This window comes from Homo sapiens, chromosome 21, assembly GCF_000001405.40.
Source record: "Homo sapiens chromosome 21, GRCh38.p14 Primary Assembly".
NCBI classification, from domain to species: Eukaryota; Metazoa; Chordata; class Mammalia; order Primates; family Hominidae; genus Homo; species Homo sapiens.
The window spans coordinates 34,974,124-34,991,532 of NC_000021.9; the positions used below are offsets into that span (position 1 = coordinate 34,974,124).

Consider the following 17,409-nt stretch of genomic DNA (forward strand, 5'->3'; position numbering starts at 1 on the left):
CAAGTGCAAAGAGAGAAACTAACTGATTGTACTTCTTCTTGATATGCCTGATAGTTTTCTGTCATCTTAATCATCACACGAGCAAGACTACTCAACACCCAGGCCTTCTGAGATCCGAACAATAAGTAACCACCAGTCACCTCCACACAGGCTGGCCAGGGGTGCTCATGGGGCAGAGTCCATATTAGCTGAAGACTTGCCTGTCCTCTGCCAGGGAACTCTACGGAAACGAGGGCAAGCTTTGCATGAAACCCCATTTGCAAACCGAAACCGTGAAAAAAAAAAAAAGGTGGTTCAGTGTGGTTTTTACTCAAAACCAGGTGAAGCTTTGTGGTTCAGCCAAGTTTTGACTTGAAGCCGGAGAGAGCTCACTGTGTTTGGCTGGACCTTGTTTTACATTTCATGTTCCATTTGGTTCTGTTTCCCAAACCTGAAACTGAGGGTTCAGATGAGGGGCACAAAATGAATAAAATGAAGTTGACATGAAATGTGGTGTAGATGAAGACAGCACCAGCTTTGTGATGCCAACTCCTGCTCCTGCTCTCTGCCGGCACTCCTTCTAGAAACGGCCTTCCCCACACTAAGTAGTTCCCTGGGACTTTTCTTTAAGGAACAGAATGATTAACACTATACAAAAATAGCAAAGGCTATTTTGCTCTTGTTTATTTTAACAGATCCATTAACAAATCTGTTTTTGTGAGTCAGCCATTGAGACTTTTGAGGAAAACATTTTAAGTAACAGACTGTGACGTTATAATGGCATGAATTTATTTAATATGTTTTAAATATCTACTATGTGCTAGAAATTTTAACTTATTAAGTTCTCACCGTATTTTATAGATGTGGAAACTAGGCTCAGAGTGATTGGATAAATTGCCCATATGCTAAAAGAGAAGGCAAGCAAGTGTAATACTAGGCAGAGCCAGCTAGATGTGGAAACTAGGCTCAGAGTGATTGGATAAATTGCCCATATGCTAAAAGAGAAGGCAAGCAAGTGTAATACTAGGCAGAGCCAGCTAGTAAGTGGTGGAGGAAAAGACTTCCCCCTGGATCTTTTCCCTAGCTATTTTCATTAGACCTCAATACCTACAAATCAGACCGAAGTTCTGCCCTCCGGGATATTATGAAGATACATATTTGGCTTCATAAAGAAGCTCTGCTCTGCTTCTATGGATTTAACCAACTGTGGATCTCTCTACGTATAGATCTGTATATATGGATGGTTGTCTGTATTGAACATGCGCAGACTTTTTTCCTGTCATTCTTCCCTAAACAATACAGTATAACAACTATTTGCATAGCATTTACATTATGTTAGGTATTATAAGTAATCTAGGGTTGATTTAAAGTATACAGGAGGATGTGCACATGTTATATGCAAATACTACACCATTTTAGAAAAGAGACTTGAGCATCTGAAGATGTTGTTATTCCAGAGGGGTCCTGAAACCAATACCCCCATGGATACTGGGGGGTGACTGTACTTAAAACAATAGTGTGTGGTGGAAAGTGCTAAACTTCCTAAAAGTTGTCCAAATGGTGAGCTGTGTGGGTTTAGAAGAGGGGAGAGAAGGCTTCTAGCTAGGGAAGGAGGGGTGGAGAGGGTAGCAATTGCAAAAATCTTTGTAAAAACAGTGACATTTGTGACACAGAAGAGCAGTTGGGTGTGTAGCTCTTGGGGGGCGGAAATAGTTTTGGAGGGGAGACAGGGTGGCTGAAAACAGAGAAGAGAGAGGATTATTTGTTGAAGTGAAGAGTTTATAAAGGAGAGTTAAGGAAAGTAATTTTGGAAAGATGGATTGAGACTAAATTATGGAAGGTCTTGGTTTCACGGCCAGTTGAGTTGTGTTTTATCTGCAGAAGAAAGCTATCAAATATTTTTGAGTCAGTATTCACAAAATCAGGACAAAATGTAGGTGAAAGCCAGAGTTTAACTCTGAAAATTACTTGTGTCTTATTGGAAATTTGGAGGGAGATTGAAAAAAATACATCAATTGGTCTTTCCAAAAAAAAAAAAAAATTACAGAAGAAAAGCTAATCATTTTCACACTGTTCAAGCTCAATGAGATCTAGTTGAGATTACAGATTAATACAAAGCTCTTGCTTACATTTTGAAGTTAGTATTTATTAGCACATATCTTGCAAGAGTATATCATCAACTGCCTTTCCCAAATTGAAAAATTTCCTCAAATATATGGGCTCCTTTTTTCATGATCACTATCCTTCCAGGAGAAAAATAAAATTAAATTTAAATTCTCCCTAATGAGGGAAGTAAAACACTAAGGAATAAGTTTTATCCAGTAGGATTGAGCTTTGGAGGTCCACAAGTCATTATAATTGTAAGACTTTTTCTATCCCTGAATACTAATTTTCATCCCCCTGGGTGCAATATTGCTCCCATTGGGACTGCATGGTGTAGGCCCAAGCTTGCTTTGCCATGACATTTTGACGAACACCGTGGAAGCTCTCTGATGTCTGGTGAAGTCTGCGTCACAGAAGGGAGGACGGATACAATCTCCTAGCCAAATAGGTTGACAATTGATAGGCTATGTGAAAGATTTGATTCAAAAATCAAACAGAGAACCTAGAGAACTACTGGGGAAGACAATATTGCTAGAGCACCATGATCAGTTACATGTTGGTTATTATACGTCCCTTAGGCTACCAGTGTTTCCTGTAAAATAATCTGCCTTTATTTTTTGCTACGCATTCTGCTAGGTGATATCGGTAGAAAAGTTAAAAAAAAAAATGCTAGAGGTGGATCTCACAAAACATAGCAGTGTGAGGGTGAGCATCAACATAGTATGCCTCTGAAGTCTTGAATTTACTCTTGCTATCCAAATTACCTCACTCAAACGGGGAAATGTTCCTTCCATTAAGTAATAGCTGTGAAAATATTTATCTTCACCAATTCAATGGATATTCTTTGGAGAAATCTCTGTATAATTTAATAAATTAGAGTGGTTGAGCATATAATGTTGTGTTTTGTTGTTGCTGCCGTTTTACTGACTATGGCTATTGTGTGAATTTCTGTTTAATCAATCAAAATTATCCATTTTGTCTTTAAAAAGAAAAGAAAAATTTGAAAAATAAGAGTAGTCTACACGGTGTTGAATTCCCCACTGTACCCAAAGATCGATGGCTCATCCTTCTGAAGAAGGGAATTTTGAGCCAATATAATAATAATTGGTGAACTGCTATTATCTTTCAATGATCTTCCATTTAGAGGAAAAAACTTACTGCTTTTACAAGCTCTGGAAAACTACCCCAGGAGGGTTATCTTGGTTCACTGAGCTTGGGCTATGGATTTAGGTACCAAGCAGTTTGACAATCTTATACAATTTTTCTTTGGTCAAGTCACTCCAAGACTCCTATCAGCCAAAACTATAATTTGATGGTTCATCATTTTTAACCTATTACTACCTGCTTTTGCGGAGAGAGGGGTAGGATTTCAATCCCAAAACATACTTTAAACTGTCATTACAACATATACACATGGAAGTGGGGACAGTCAGGTATTTGATCCAGACTGGATTATGTGTGACTTCACACATACTTTTAGAAGTTACTTCTACAAAGATATTTGGAGCTTGGAAACACACTGGAATGACTTGGCTGTAAACCTGAATGGAGAATGTCGCTGGAGAGGCCAAAAAGCTGTCTCCATCTTTCTTCCAACATCCTTCTAGTGTGACCTATTGCTATGTAAGGAAGGTAACTGTTATTCCATCTACTTCATAGTTTTCATCATGGATTCATGAGGCAATGTGTAAAATGTCCAATGTCTTTAGAGTAAACAGCATTTTTTTTTTTTTTGAGACGGAGTCTCTCTCTGTCGCCCAGGCTGGATTGCGGTGGCAGTGATCTTGGCTCACTGCAAGCCCCGCCTCCCAGGTTCACCATTCTCCTGCTTCAGCCATTCTCCTGCCTCAGCCTCCAGGGCAGCTGGGACTACAGTCACGTGCCACCATGCCCGGCTAATTTTTTGTAGTTTTTAGTAGAGACGGGGTTTCACCGTGTTAGCCAGGATGGTCTCGATCTCCTGACCTCATGATCCGCCCGCCTCGGCCTCCCAGAGTGCTGGGATTACAGGCATGAGCCACCGCGCCCCGCCCATAAACAGTATTTTTTGACCAATGAGAAATCTGTAAAAAATTCTGCCATGATGACTTACTTTCTATTGATAAGTATGAGGGTGCTCATTCTACGTTAGTTTTCTACAGAACTCAAAAATAAGTGGTCCTTGTGGAATAAATGAATGGAAATGTTGTTTTACAAATAAAAAATAAACTTTCCTTTCATTTTTACTGTCCTCAGGAATGTGACAAAAAGCATAATTTTGATGTGTTATTATTTGTAGTTTCCCAGAAGGAAAAATATACTGTCAAAGTTAGGGATCTATTTTTACCAGTATAACAAGATGTCACTGGGAGACCATTACTTTATTGGAAAGTTTTTGTTTTTTTAAAACTTGTCTACTGCAGCTTCACATATTTCATAGTTGTGTGTTTCCTGGTTAAAAAGCACGAAACTTTTCAACATTTGCTGCTCATTTTGTGAGCCAGATCAAGGCAAGGAAATTCCAATATTTATGAACAACTGTAGAGGGTAATTGAAGGATAGTCTGCTGTTTCTGCCAGTTCTACTGATAAACTGTGGGCTGTTGTATTGTTTAAACCTCTGTCTGCTGGAAGGCTTCTTTTTCTGATACTGAAGCATGTTTTCCTAAGCCACCTGGATGCAAAGAGGAGATTTTCAGGTGACCTTGGGGTCTCTCCCTTGCCAGACTTCTCAGACAAAACACACACACAGATACACACACACACACACACACACACACACACACACACACACACAGCATCTTTGTCCATCCTGGGCCAGGTAGGTTCTTATGAGACAGACCATTATCCCTTGAGTTTGAGAGAGTAAAGATCTCTCGTAATTTCCATCTCGCCTGCAACTCTGAGCCCTGAAGGCTCCAGTCAAGCACAGCTGACTGGGAACTGTCAAGTCTGGAGGATGCTGCATATATTCCCATGCCTGGGTTCTGGAATAGCATCTGTGACCCACAGCCCCCGGAATAAGAGAAAGAGTCTTTTTGGATTTGATTTTGTTCATAGATATATGCTCCAAGATATGCCTCAAGCGTTATATGCTATACATCCTCATAAGTCTTTCTTATAAGTCATAGTCTTTATAACCAATGCTTTTTTTTTTTGTTTGCATAGGTTGGCAACTCAAAGGTCAGTACCAAGGATTCTCTATAACTGCCATTGAACAATATTACAATATTTATTAAAAAAATCTTTCCATAGGTATTTTATCAGGTGCTCTACAAGAGAACTACATAGGCACATATGTGGTTTGGAGGGACTTACAGTCTCATTCAGGAAGACCTTGACAAACAAATGCTAACATAAAAACCACCAGACTGCTATTTAGCCATTCTGTCTGGGATGACTATATTAATTATTTTATGACAGCGTTTCTTTCCTTCTGAATGGTTGTTACCAGCGAGGTACCTTTTGCTCAATGTTTGCTTAAAGACATGTCTATATATTATCTGGCAAGTCTATTTCACGTCTGTTTTAAAGTCATGTCGGTTTTAAGTGCATTAGATAGCACTCTGATGATGTTCACAGTAGTATAAAAACATCAGCTTTGAAATGTTGGGCTCCATTTTCATTAACAAGTTTTTTTCTCCCCTTGGTCCCAAAGCAACCTAACAGAGAACAGAGGGTAGGACCAAGAGTGAGGAGTGCTGGGTCTGCCAGGTGGAGGGTGCTGGGTTCGTCTCAGTGGGCTCCAGAGCCAGGTCGCCTGCCCCAGAACACAGCTCTGCCCCTGCTAGCGCATGGCCGAAAGCGAGCTACTTGCTGTAAAATGGGATTAAACAACACGAATCCTGCAGGTTGGTGGAAGGATTAAATGAGTCAATATACATAAAGCGCTTATGTATAAGTACCTGGCTTGACAGCAAAGGCTATATAAAGATCTGCTATTATTACTTTGGTCTTGGCTTTGTCACTGAAGAGCAGGCTGTGGAGCCCCACTGAGTCTCAGTCTCTTCATATAAACAGTGGACGAAGTTCTCTGGAACCATTAGCCTTGTCGTTTTCTTTCTAAATAAGGCATCTTGCAAGTACCCAGGGAAAAATCACACCAAGGAAGAGACCACACAATTTATTCACCAACGCAGGCCAGTGGGCATAAGCCAGGCCAGTATGGGTCACCCCACATTTATCAGGTCCTACGTAGCCTGGGGATGGGGTATTCTGCCTGTGAAGATAGGAGGAGCTGGGTCTTGTTTCAAATTATGAGGGTGGTATTTAAATAGCACCCATGTTTGGCTTCACACTTTTCCCGAAATCTCTCTTTATTCCCGTCTCATAGGCAGAATCAGGACCAACATCACTGAACAAAGAGACACGAATTAAAAATCAGTTGTTTGGATTTTCATTTCTGCTGAGTGTTCTCTTTTAAAATGACCTCTGCTATCCCGAGGGAAACAGTTTTCCCCATTACTGACGGAAAGTGAAGTCTCCTCAGAAGGAGGATTTCCCTTCCAGAAATTCAAAACCAGAAAAACTATCAAGACACTGTGATTGTGTGCCAGTGAACAGCCGTTTCCAAAGATTTGAATGGAATAATTTGTTTTTCATGGTTTGTAGGTAGCAGATAAAACTTACATGGAAAAATGGACAAGAAGAAATGGAAAATAAGACACAGAACCTGGAATCATCAGCTTAAAAAGCAATTTGCTTTATTTCAGCTGTGCCCAGAAATAGCTTGAGGTTACCAAGTGAGTATTTCTACTGGAAGCATCAGCTACAATTAGGTCACCAACTTAGAGAAGACGTAGGCGGAAATTTAAACACCAAGTCTATCATTATAAAGGTACTTTATCAGCAAAACTGTCAGCTATGGATGGTTGACTTAAAATTATTAAGAGGCTAAAATATCAAAGGAGAAGACAAGTCTGTGGAAGGGTCCCTCCTAAGATCAACAACAGCTGAGGGTCTAAACATGAGGAAGCGGCTTTAATAGCATTGCTTGTGGAGTTCGTTTTGAAGTCCTTAACTTCCACGCCAATCTGATGTGAGAAAAATAGATGCTTCCCTTTGGAGTCCTTGTTCCAACCATGGAAACCTGGGACACACACTTAATTCTGCTGGTGACAGAATGACAAATCTGTTATTGTTTAGGATAAGTGAGGCATGGCAATACTCTTCTGAATTTCGGTGAAAATTAGATGTGAAAATCTGTAATGGTACTATTCAAGCTTCCCCTTAAACAAGAAACATTGAGCAAATAAAAATATGGAGTCCCTGGACCTATTCTAGAAGCCTGGTGCCAAGGAATAGATTTTGCATGGATCAGCTTAAGCTCACCCAGGAATGGATTTAACTTTCTCCTGGAAAATTTATTTGAAAGTCCAAAAAAAAGAGTATTCATTATTTATGGATTTAGTAATGACTAGATTTTACAAATATTTGGATCCACATGAGCCATGGAATTCAGAATAATATTATTTCCTGCCATATTGGTAACTGATTTTTCAAAGAAGATTTTACTTGATAGTTAATTTAATCCATTTTGCTTGATTATTCAAATGTTCCAAAACACCCAGTGGTGGCCTATTTTTTTTTGTCTCTTTTCACTATAATAATATGGCTTGATGTTTCACAATGGCTGTATCTGTTTCCTTAGCTACAAAATGGTTCTGAGACCGGTCTTTCTGTATCTGTAGGTCATTGCCATCAGTGCAGCAAGGAGCCCCCCTCAACAAATCTCTCTTCTTTATATGGGGCTGATGCTTGGCCAAAAGCCTGCAAGGGTGAGTCTCAGAACAGCTGCTAAAAATGCAGCTGGATAGTGAGACAGAAGTGCTCAATGCCAGTTCGCTGGGCACATTCGTTAGTACATGCCAATGCTGGAGGAGCCGTACAGACAGAAGGCACTTCATTTCATCCGCAGGTCACTAAATGCCTTTGTCCATTTCCTGCCTTTCCTTTATCACATGGATATTAGCGCTTATCTACTCAAGTCATTATAACTATAAATCGCTACCATCTTTCTTACCAAGGATTTAGTCTTTTGTGCCACATACAAGGTGTAGAGAATTCTTCTAGGGATAGACTTCTAAGTCCAAGCTACCCAGGGAACTACCATTTACATCATTCATTAAGTAAAATAAAGATTGTTGTTGATGAAGGGGTAGCTCTTACTAGGGTCCCAGGGTTAGTCCAAGGCTCAATTATGAAGTCAAAAGGGGTGTGTGTGTGTGTGTGTGTGACGGAAAGAAAGAGAAAGAAAGGGAAGGAGGAGAGAGTTTGGATTGGGAAAGTTACCATCCACTCTCCTCTTAGCATACCTAGTTGTCAATTTTCTGTTTATGTTTTATATAGCCTCATTAATGATTGCGATACTATTACTATGTTTACTTTTTTTATTTTTATTTTTTGAGATGGAGTCTCACTCTGTCACCCAGGCTGGAGTGTAGTGGCGCGATCTTGGCTTATTGCAATCTCCGCCACCCGGGTTCAAGTGATTCTCCTGCCTTAGCCTCCTGAGTAGCTGGGATTACAGGCGCGTGCCACAACACCCAGCTAATTTTTGTATTTTTAGTAGAGACGGGGTTTCACCATGTTGGTCAGGCTGGTCTTGACCTCCTGACCTTGGGATCCGCCTGCCTTGGCCTCCCAAAGTGCTGGGATTACAGGTGTGAACCACTGCATGTGGCCTATCTTTACTTTTGAAATAGGAAATGAACTCAGAAGTTAAACCATCTTTCAAGGTCTTATAACCGTTAGGTGGTAGAACCAAGATTTGAAGCCTAGTTGGTCTGTTGCCAAAGTCCACTATATTAAGCTGTTTCCCAAGTGAATCTTTAGGAACATTCCAGGCACCTAGTTCTTCATCCTTTTTGGTTCTTTCTCTCATCCATGATGTCTGGTAGGTTACAAAGAGAGAAGGCATTAAATGTGTTGTTAACCAGCAAGCGCATGAGGTAGAAATTTTGGAGGATTAAGGCTTTATTGAACCCACCAAATCATACTCCAGGCATCTGTCTTGTTTTTCACTGTAGCTTCTAGGAAGGTTAAGCATTAGAAACTCGAATGGTGATGTGAATCATAGGAAGCGCTAAGCTAAACTACTGAATGAGTCATTCTTTCCAGAGACAATGGCCCTTATTTCTCTCAAACTCTTAACAGACTTACAAATGAGGGTAGAAGAAAAGCTACTTAAATTTACTACCCCTACTAATAACACCAAAATAAATTTATTACTCTACTACAGAGCTTTCACTTTTTCATAAGTTGTTATCAACATTTTGATTTTTGGGTTATCAGAACATCTAACAGCATGTTCTAAATGTCAAATAAAAGGTAATTACATGAAATGATAATGATATACAATCTCTTTACTGTCTTATCTAAGACAATCTCTTTTGTGTGCTGGGAGTACAACAAACTTGATTCTTGGCTACCTGGGGCAGGGGTTTAGATTACTAAGAATCCTAGAACTACACACAGTCTGCCATAAAACTTATCTGTGGAGGAGACCATTGCAATAGCTATAACTCTTTGGTGTGTTGTGGGGGGAAAATGGTTTGAGACTCACTATTTCAGAGGAAGTGGTGGCAAAAGGAAGAGGAGAATGAAGTTGGTAGCTTGCAGAAATAGCAGAGTGGAGTAGCTAAAACTTAGCTAGTGGTTTGGTGTGGGGGTGGAGCAGGGTCATCACCATTAACTCTGAAGTTTAGCCCTGCTGACTCAGGGGCCAATGGTGCTGCTGCCAGAAATAGGGGAGCTGGAAAATCTGAGAAGATGATTAATTCAGCTGGGGACATATTTGCCTCAAGGTTCCTCAGAGGGGCATCCCCAGTGGATGTGTTCAGAAGTCAATTGAAAATAAGGCCAGCACCCAGAAATGGGCTGAGCTGGAGGGTTAGAGTTGCCAGTCATGGGTCTATGGTGTTCAAGACAAGAGTGGCCAGATTCACAAAGGGAACAAGGTGGACCAGAGAGAGAAGAGAGCCTGGGACAGGGTCTAGGATGTATTTGGAGTAAGAGAGAAGGAAGAGTAGCTAGAGAAAAAAATGTGGAAAAAGCAGTGATAATAAGATAACAGAAGAAATCATCACAGTGTGAAAAAGCAAGGCCAAGGATGGATAATTTGTTCTTGGAGGATGAAGTGGCCTAGACTATAAGCCCCAGAGTAGCAAATCAGTTAGCAAAGTGGCCAATCTCAGTATGTCATTGTGCACCAGAAGGTCCCATATGAGGGCAGAAAAAAAACTATAGAACTATACACAGTCTTCCATATAACTTATCTGTGGGGGAGGCCACTGCAATAGCTACGGCTCTTTGGTGCGCTGTGGAGGAAAAATGGTTTGAGATTCACTATTTCAGAGGAAGTGGTGGCAAAAGGAAGAAGAGAAAGAAGTTGGTGGCTTGCAGAAATAGCAGAATCAAAAAGAAGAGTATTTTAAGACAAGAGAAATGCCCAGCCAGTGGAGAGAGACCAGGAGTGGAGAGGAGAGAAGTGCAGGAAGGAAAAGAAGGGAATGAAGGGTTGATGGAACAGTTCTAGAGGAAGCTGGAGGGCTTGAGTGCAGAAGCACAGTTATGTGGCACATGTCTGCAAAGTAGTTGGGCAAATACAATGTCCATCAGAGAGAGGTCACATGAAGATGCAGATAGACCCCGTCATGTGAAGGAAGGAAGTGATCAGGTACTTTCCATAGAACTCATTTCTCTTCTCAGGAATACAGGGGTGACAGGATCTTCCCAGAGGACAGGCTGCATGGTATGGGGGTCAGGGCTGGCAGCCCAGGCCAGGTTTGGAATAGCCCCAAAATATATAGCATGGTAGGAGGTTGTGCATGGATATATTGAGTATTCAGTGCACAGGTTAGGATGAAAAAATTGTGTCAAAGTAGTTATGTGATTCCAATAATACTTAGAAGACTTAGAACAAGAGCAGAGAAAGTAAGTGGTCATCCTGAGTTAATAAATGAAGGTAAAGAACTTAGCACTCCATTGAAAGGTACAGTAATTTAATATTGATATTAGATTGATGGGTCCTTCATTTCCCTATGGTCTCATCATAGTTTCTTGCAATAGGGATGACAGAGCAGGGAGTAATAGGCTGCCAGCAGGACCTCAATGGAGTGACCCAGTCTTGGGTTCAGGCCCATCGGGGCAGAACTAGGTTTGTCAAAGGGTGCTTGCTGACTGGCTTGGAGAGCAGAGGTAGCCAGAGGTGTCTGGGGTCACCATGAAGACGGCAAGTACAATCTGTAGGAGTGGAATAGGCAGGGAAGGAGTAGAAGCTGTGGATGGAAGAACATTCCAGAATGTGAGATCTTGGAGATGACACGATTTTTTCTCTGAAAGCTCTCAGCCCATGGTGAGCATTAAAACACTCTCAGGGCAACCACACACCAATCCCTATACTGACCCCTACTCCAAATGTTTAGGGTGGAGCCCTTTGGGGATACCATATGGGGGTTTCTTTAATATTCCTCAGTGGACTTGGCTTCCTTTCTCACAGACAGACAGGGACTGTTATGAATGGGGTACACACCTATTTTATTCACTCATATTTTATTATCCTATATTATATTATTATAGTCATTTCACTGCCACCAACATTTCCTTCTCCAACGATGTGGTATGCGGTGTAACAAATGGTTTTAGAGAAAGTGTCTGGTGGTCTATCAACAACTCTGACCAGACTTTTTTTTTTTTTTTTTTTTTTTGAGACAGGGTCTCACTCTGTCACCCAGGCTGGAGTACAATAGCACGATCATGGTCGCTGCAGCCTCAACCTCCTAGGCTCAAGAGATACTCCTTGTCTCAGCCTCCAAAGTAGCTGGTACTACAGGCATGCACCACTACACTGGGCTAATTTTTGTATTTTTTGTAGAGATGGGTTTTGCCATGTTGCCCAGGCTGATCTCGAACTCCTGGGCTCAAGGGATCCCGCCTCAGCCTCCCAAAATGCTGGGATTTCAGGTATGAACCATTGCACCCAGCCCAGACTGTTTTGGCTGATCATTTATGTCCCTAGATACTGTCCACTGTTTCACCTTCCAGTCTGCCTTGCATTAACTTTCAATGCTCTTTCCATCAAATCACACTGGGTCCTATGTCAAAGGCTGGCACTGTTTGTTTCCTCAAACCTGAAAGTTGAAAGGTCAAGATTCAACATCATGCACCAAGAGTTTAGTCTGTGGAGGAGGTCTCAAAATTGAGGATGGAATAACTAACTCCACAAGATGGGGGCAGGGAGCAGGAGATATGTGGCATTTAGCAAAAAAGCCATGGTTCCCTATGTGTCTCCCAAATATCCACATCTACCTAGAACCTCAGGTTGTCACGCTTTTTGGAAATAAGGTTTGTGTAAATGTGATTTGTTAAGATGAGGTCATACTAGATTAGGTTGGCTGCTAAATTCAATGATCAGCATCCTTATAAGAAGAGGAGAAGACACACAGGGGTACACAGAGAGATGCCATGCGAAGACAGAGGCAGAAACTGGAGTAATGCAAAGATGACTCAAGGGATGTCAAGGGTTGCTGGGAGTCACCAGATGCTGGGGGAAGCAAGGAAGGATCCTCTCCTGGAGCCTTCAGAGGGAGCACAGAAATGCCAGCGCCTTGATCTTGGAATTCTAGCCTCTAGGGCTGTAAGAGAATACATTTCTGTTGTTTTAAACCACACAGTTTGTGGCAATTTGTTATGGCAGCCACAGGAAACTAACACAGTCCCCTAACCTCAACCACTGAGCTTCACTGACTAGCTGGGAAGTTTCTCCCAGGAGGCCATGTTGTCCCTGAAGCCAGTCCCAATGGGACCGACATGATTGACAGGCCAGGGAAGCCTCACCCCACAAGGCTGCATGCCCAGGTAAGTGTGTTTCTTGCACCGCCCTTGCCATGACAATGGCTTGTTCTGACTTACGGCTTTGTTACTTTGAACTTCAATCAATGGCTGAAAGAGGAACGTTGTTTTGACTAGGCTCGGGGTTTCTAAACTCCCCACTGTGTGGTTTCCAGGTCAGACAGTCAGGCTTTGTTCTGTGAATCATTGCTGAAAGATTCAATTAAATCTCGCTTCGTCCGCCTTGTGGCCAGGGTTTCAGTGACTTAGCAAGAACAGGAGCATGTAGCCAGTTGCTGAGGAAAGCCAGACATTTGAGGGGAGCGGGCTGCTGACACGAGGCAGGGAGCACAGAGATCTTCGGGGCTCCAGACAGCGGTGAAGAATGAAGTCCCCAGGCGCCCAGCTTCTTGGCTGAGAAGGCAGCTGTTGATTCCTGACATACTAATTTAGGACCCGAAAGAGAAAGTGAGGGGGCTTTGTAAAATCACTTAAAGGAGGCTGAATGTCAAGGGGGAGATGAGCCATGTGTTAGCACCACTGTCCTTTTCACGCAGGCATGAGAAAGAATCACAAATGTGAGTCTGGTTGAGATCTTTATGGTTAGGAGGCCTCCTTTGAAGTCTGACATCGCTAAAAAAATTCTCATAAAACCAAAGAGGGGGAAAAAAAGAGCATTTTATCCTAGCTAGGAGAGCACCAAAGTATGTGGAAAGGAGAAAAGGCTACAGCCCTCTGCAGAAACAGGAATTCGGCAGAACCCCAAGTCACTCAGAAAAGAGAAAATGAAAGACAAGATTTCTTGAAGTGCCTGGAAAATGCTAGCTTCGTGTGCAGACTTGCTCTAGAGGGGACAGTCTTGTGTGATGCCAGAGATCCAGGCTGATGAACAACTCCCATCCCCAGGGCACAGGTGGCCTGAAATCACGGAGATTCTTAGAACCTCAGTTTGGTTTCTTATTTATAGAATGAGACAATTCATGCCACCTCTCTTTTCTCTTGCAGGATTTTGTGGGGCTCAGAGGAGTTGCTGTTTGTGAATTCACTCTGTAAATTTCTAGCATCCTATAATTGTAGACAAGTCAGTATGCGCCCCTCCTCAAGGCTGGGCTTAGGATCCCAAGACATCCCTATTGCCTGCACCACATCGGGTGCCAGCTAAGGTAGAGGAGGGGTGCCAAGGAAGATCAGAGAAGCCCAGCTCCTGGTGCCCCTGGGGTCAGTACGGTCCTTCTTCCCTTGTATCTGCAAAGGACTTGTGGACACAGCCGGGGGAAACATGGTTGCTAAGAGACTGGCATTGCTGCACTTTCGAGGACACCAGGCGTGTAGTCTCATCTTTCATCAACATTCCTGGGGCTGCTCCTTTCATACATGAGCCCAGAAGGACCAGGGCGGTGCAGATCCCAGGGAAGGGGATGGCAGGGCTCAGCTGCCCAGCCTGCTGTCCTGCTGTGGCTCTGTGCTGCAGCATCATCTAGTACTTTCAAAAACTGTGCTGTGGGCACTCGCCTCGGCTCCTGTACAACTGTCCTTCCCATCTCCATCTGCCAAACTCATTCTTACCCCTAGGACCTGCTGAGATGCTGCCTCTACCATGAAGCCATCCCTGAGAACAGTAGCTTGTTATTTCTACTGCTGCTTCCAGCTTTGATTGGCTCTTCCCTACTCATCCCCTCACCTGACATCCGGACAGTGTGTGCAACAACTTATTATGATTATTATTGGGATGGTCTCCTCCGGCACCCATAATCCTGTCCTGAGTGAGCACCCTGCACATGAGGTTGTTTGAGAACACTGGCTGAACCTGTCAACAGTTGGTGGATTCTGATCCAGTAGCTGATAGTGGGCAGGAGAATAGGGGTGTGGCTTTCCAGGCTCTGAGGCCCCCACATCCTCAAAGGGAACTGAGATGATCCCAATAGGTGCAGGTTCAGGCAAAGTGGAGAGATCCAGAACATGTGCCTTTGGCTGGCCCAGATCTCTCTCTCTCTCTCTCTCTTTTTTTTTTTTTAGATGGAGTTTCACTCTGTTGCCCAGGCTGGAGTGCAATGGCATGATCTCAGCTCACTGCAACCTTCACCTTCCACGTTCAAGCGATTCTCCTGCCTCAATCTCCTGAGTAGCTGAGATTACAGGCGCCCGCCGCCACACCCAGCTAATTTTTGTATTTTTAGTAGAGACGGGGTTTCTCCATATTGGCCAGGCTGGTCTTGAACTCCTGGCCTCAGGTGATCTGACTGTCTCTGCCTCCCAAAGTGCTGGGATTACAAGTGTGAGCCACGGCGCCCGGCCCCAGATCTCTTTATACTGATCTTTGCCATTCTCTACTCTGCTTGGGGTAGCTTCTTAGTTCGTACTACAGCTTAAATGACTGATAGTTTTACCTTTCTAGGAGAGCTGACTTCTCAGAGGTTACCTAAGCTTGAAGTCAAAGGCATGAGGCTGTGCTAGGAGGTGTGGGGGAGGAAGTTACTTTTGGAAGCCAGGGTCTTTCCCAGGCTTCTGAAATCATCCCCTTGGGCAACTGCCTGGCATGATGTGTCCCTGATTAAAGCAGTTTCTCTCCTCCTAGTCTACTTGGGAAGCTCTGAGGATGATTCTTTCTCTTTTGATACATCAAATCCACCCAAAGCAGCTTCTGAAAAAACTATGAAAAACTGGCCACAGGAGTGTTTGTTCTGGTAGAATTTAAATGTCTTTGTGCTGCAAAAGCTGAAATGTCTAGTAAGATTTCTGACCAAAGCCTTTCAGCTCACTATAAGCATTGGCACGAAGGGTAAACCACAGGGATCCAGCTCTTACAATGCTTCATTCCCTTCTGCAGGCCCTAGAGACTCCCTGGGCTTTGCCTGCCACATCTGTACACTGGGGAGAAGGTGGATTACCTCTTACGCTCCAAGTAGCAAGTCATTTAACCTCACTCCTCATGGGTTGGGGACGGGAGCATGCTCACAGGGTGGAAGGAGGATGAAACGGATGCACAGTAAATGTGAGCTGTTTTCACAATTACAAGTCTCACCTCCCACTCTGAGCTTCTATGACTCTATCGTTCATTTTTCTGCACAGGGACTGACTCAAGGCTCTAAGGTTCTATCTCTGTGCTGCTGCACTGAGCTGCTCCCTCCTGAATGTCTCTGCCTGTCAGTTTCATTCAGAGACCCCTGACCACCAGTAATCATCAGATATTTCATGCAGCTGGGTGAGGCATCAGATCCGACAAAATAGGAAGATTCTTTTTAAAACCAGAATCTCTAAAATGAGTTTGTTTGTGATGCAAGTAGGGTCTGGATCCTACAAACCACGGAAGACTTGCAGACAAGGCAGTTTCTTCTGGAAGCTTCCCCAGGGAAGAGCAGGAACCCCCAGAATGGCAGAGCTGCACGTGTGCCGCTGTGTGACATTCCTGGTGCTAAAAAGAAACAGTGATGGATCTTTGCCATAGTGGGGAAAAATGAGCCAGTGCAATAGGCCTAGTCATAAAAGGTGGATCAGAGGGAGGGTTTTAGTTGAAAGCTTTTGAGAGGTTGAGCTTCATTATCCTGCTGCTGTTATATGATGAACCACAGAGACGTGCACCCATACCACTGGGGCTCTTCCATTAACGGATATAATGTTGGGATATGAGGAATAATTTTTTTTTTTTGAGACGGAGTTTCACTCTGCCTCCTGGGTTCAAGTGATTCTCCTGCCTCAGCCTCCCGAGTAGCTGGGATTACAGGCACCCACCACCACGCCTGGCTAATTTTTGTATTTTTAGTAGAGACAGGGTTTACCATGTTGGCCAGGCTGGTCTTGAACTCCTGGCCTCAGGTGATCCACCCGCCTCGGCCTTCCAAAGTGCTGGGATTATAGGAGTGAGCCACCGTGCCCGGCTGGGGAATAAATTTTTGCTATACATTTTGCATAAAAGCAGACAAATGCTCAGTAACTTTTTCATAGAAACATCTGTAACTCTGTTCATGAGGAGAATGCCACAGGTCACTCACTTATTTGCACAAAGAGCCGTACAGTTCAAGGGAACGCTGTGTCATTCTGTCCAACCAGGGGGTTAGAGAATCACTGATCACTAAAGCCAGGAGCAATGCTGGAAGCCTGTCTCCACTGCTGCGCTGGCGAAGACCGGGGCCCAGCCTCTGTGGTTCCACCTTGCCTGCCTCTCTTGCTATATCCCAGCTGCTTCAGGTTTTCTGAACATGCCAGGCCCCTACCTGCCCCTAGATCCCTGGACATGCCTTTACCTCCTCCCGAAATTCCCTCGGTCCTCTCTTCCCTTGGCTAGATACCCCTTGTTAAAGAGAATATTCACATCTGCCATGGCTCCCTCAGCCTGGGTAGGCGCCCTGCCCTGTGCATTCTGGTTGGCCCTATGAGTCTGTTCCCTTCTGTGTCACCCCCAGTGGGGCCCTTGATGACATGGCTGTCCATGCAGTTTACCTCTACATAGCAGCTACGGGCACTTGGCTGACTTTATCTGACCAAACTGCATAGCTATCACTATGTGCCCGGCAGCATTCCT

The 17,409-nt window shown here is 43.5% G+C and overlaps 1 protein-coding gene across 13 annotated transcripts in view, besides 6 other annotated features; it reads right to left on the bottom strand.

Moving 5' to 3' along the window:
• The window catches only part of RUNX1 (RUNX family transcription factor 1), a 261,502-nt gene that overhangs the window by 186,323 nt on the left and 57,770 nt on the right, over positions 1–17,409 (bottom strand). The gene's annotated exons all lie outside the window — the stretch shown is intronic.
• Positions 49–343: a silencer, noted in NCBI's record as "tiled region #10330; K562 Repressive non-DNase unmatched - State 8:EnhW". NCBI's record gives its function as "represses a minimal TATA promoter and a strong SV40 promoter by Sharpr-MPRA in K562 cells {active_cell/tissue: K562}" and the evidence as "EXISTENCE:reporter gene assay evidence [ECO:0000049][PMID:27701403]".
• Positions 187–236: an enhancer, noted in NCBI's record as "active region_18409". NCBI's record gives its function as "activates an Ori minimal core promoter by ATAC-STARR-seq in GM12878 lymphoblastoid cells {active_cell/tissue: GM12878}" and the evidence as "EXISTENCE:reporter gene assay evidence [ECO:0000049][PMID:35858748]".
• Positions 367–456: an enhancer, noted in NCBI's record as "active region_18410". NCBI's record gives its function as "activates an Ori minimal core promoter by ATAC-STARR-seq in GM12878 lymphoblastoid cells {active_cell/tissue: GM12878}" and the evidence as "EXISTENCE:reporter gene assay evidence [ECO:0000049][PMID:35858748]".
• Positions 13,247–13,296: an enhancer, noted in NCBI's record as "active region_18411". NCBI's record gives its function as "activates an Ori minimal core promoter by ATAC-STARR-seq in GM12878 lymphoblastoid cells {active_cell/tissue: GM12878}" and the evidence as "EXISTENCE:reporter gene assay evidence [ECO:0000049][PMID:35858748]".
• Positions 15,928–16,037: an enhancer, noted in NCBI's record as "active region_18412". NCBI's record gives its function as "activates an Ori minimal core promoter by ATAC-STARR-seq in GM12878 lymphoblastoid cells {active_cell/tissue: GM12878}" and the evidence as "EXISTENCE:reporter gene assay evidence [ECO:0000049][PMID:35858748]".
• Positions 16,749–17,043: a silencer, noted in NCBI's record as "tiled region #3099; K562 Repressive DNase unmatched - State 14:Gen5'". NCBI's record gives its function as "represses a minimal TATA promoter and a strong SV40 promoter by Sharpr-MPRA in K562 cells {active_cell/tissue: K562}" and the evidence as "EXISTENCE:reporter gene assay evidence [ECO:0000049][PMID:27701403]".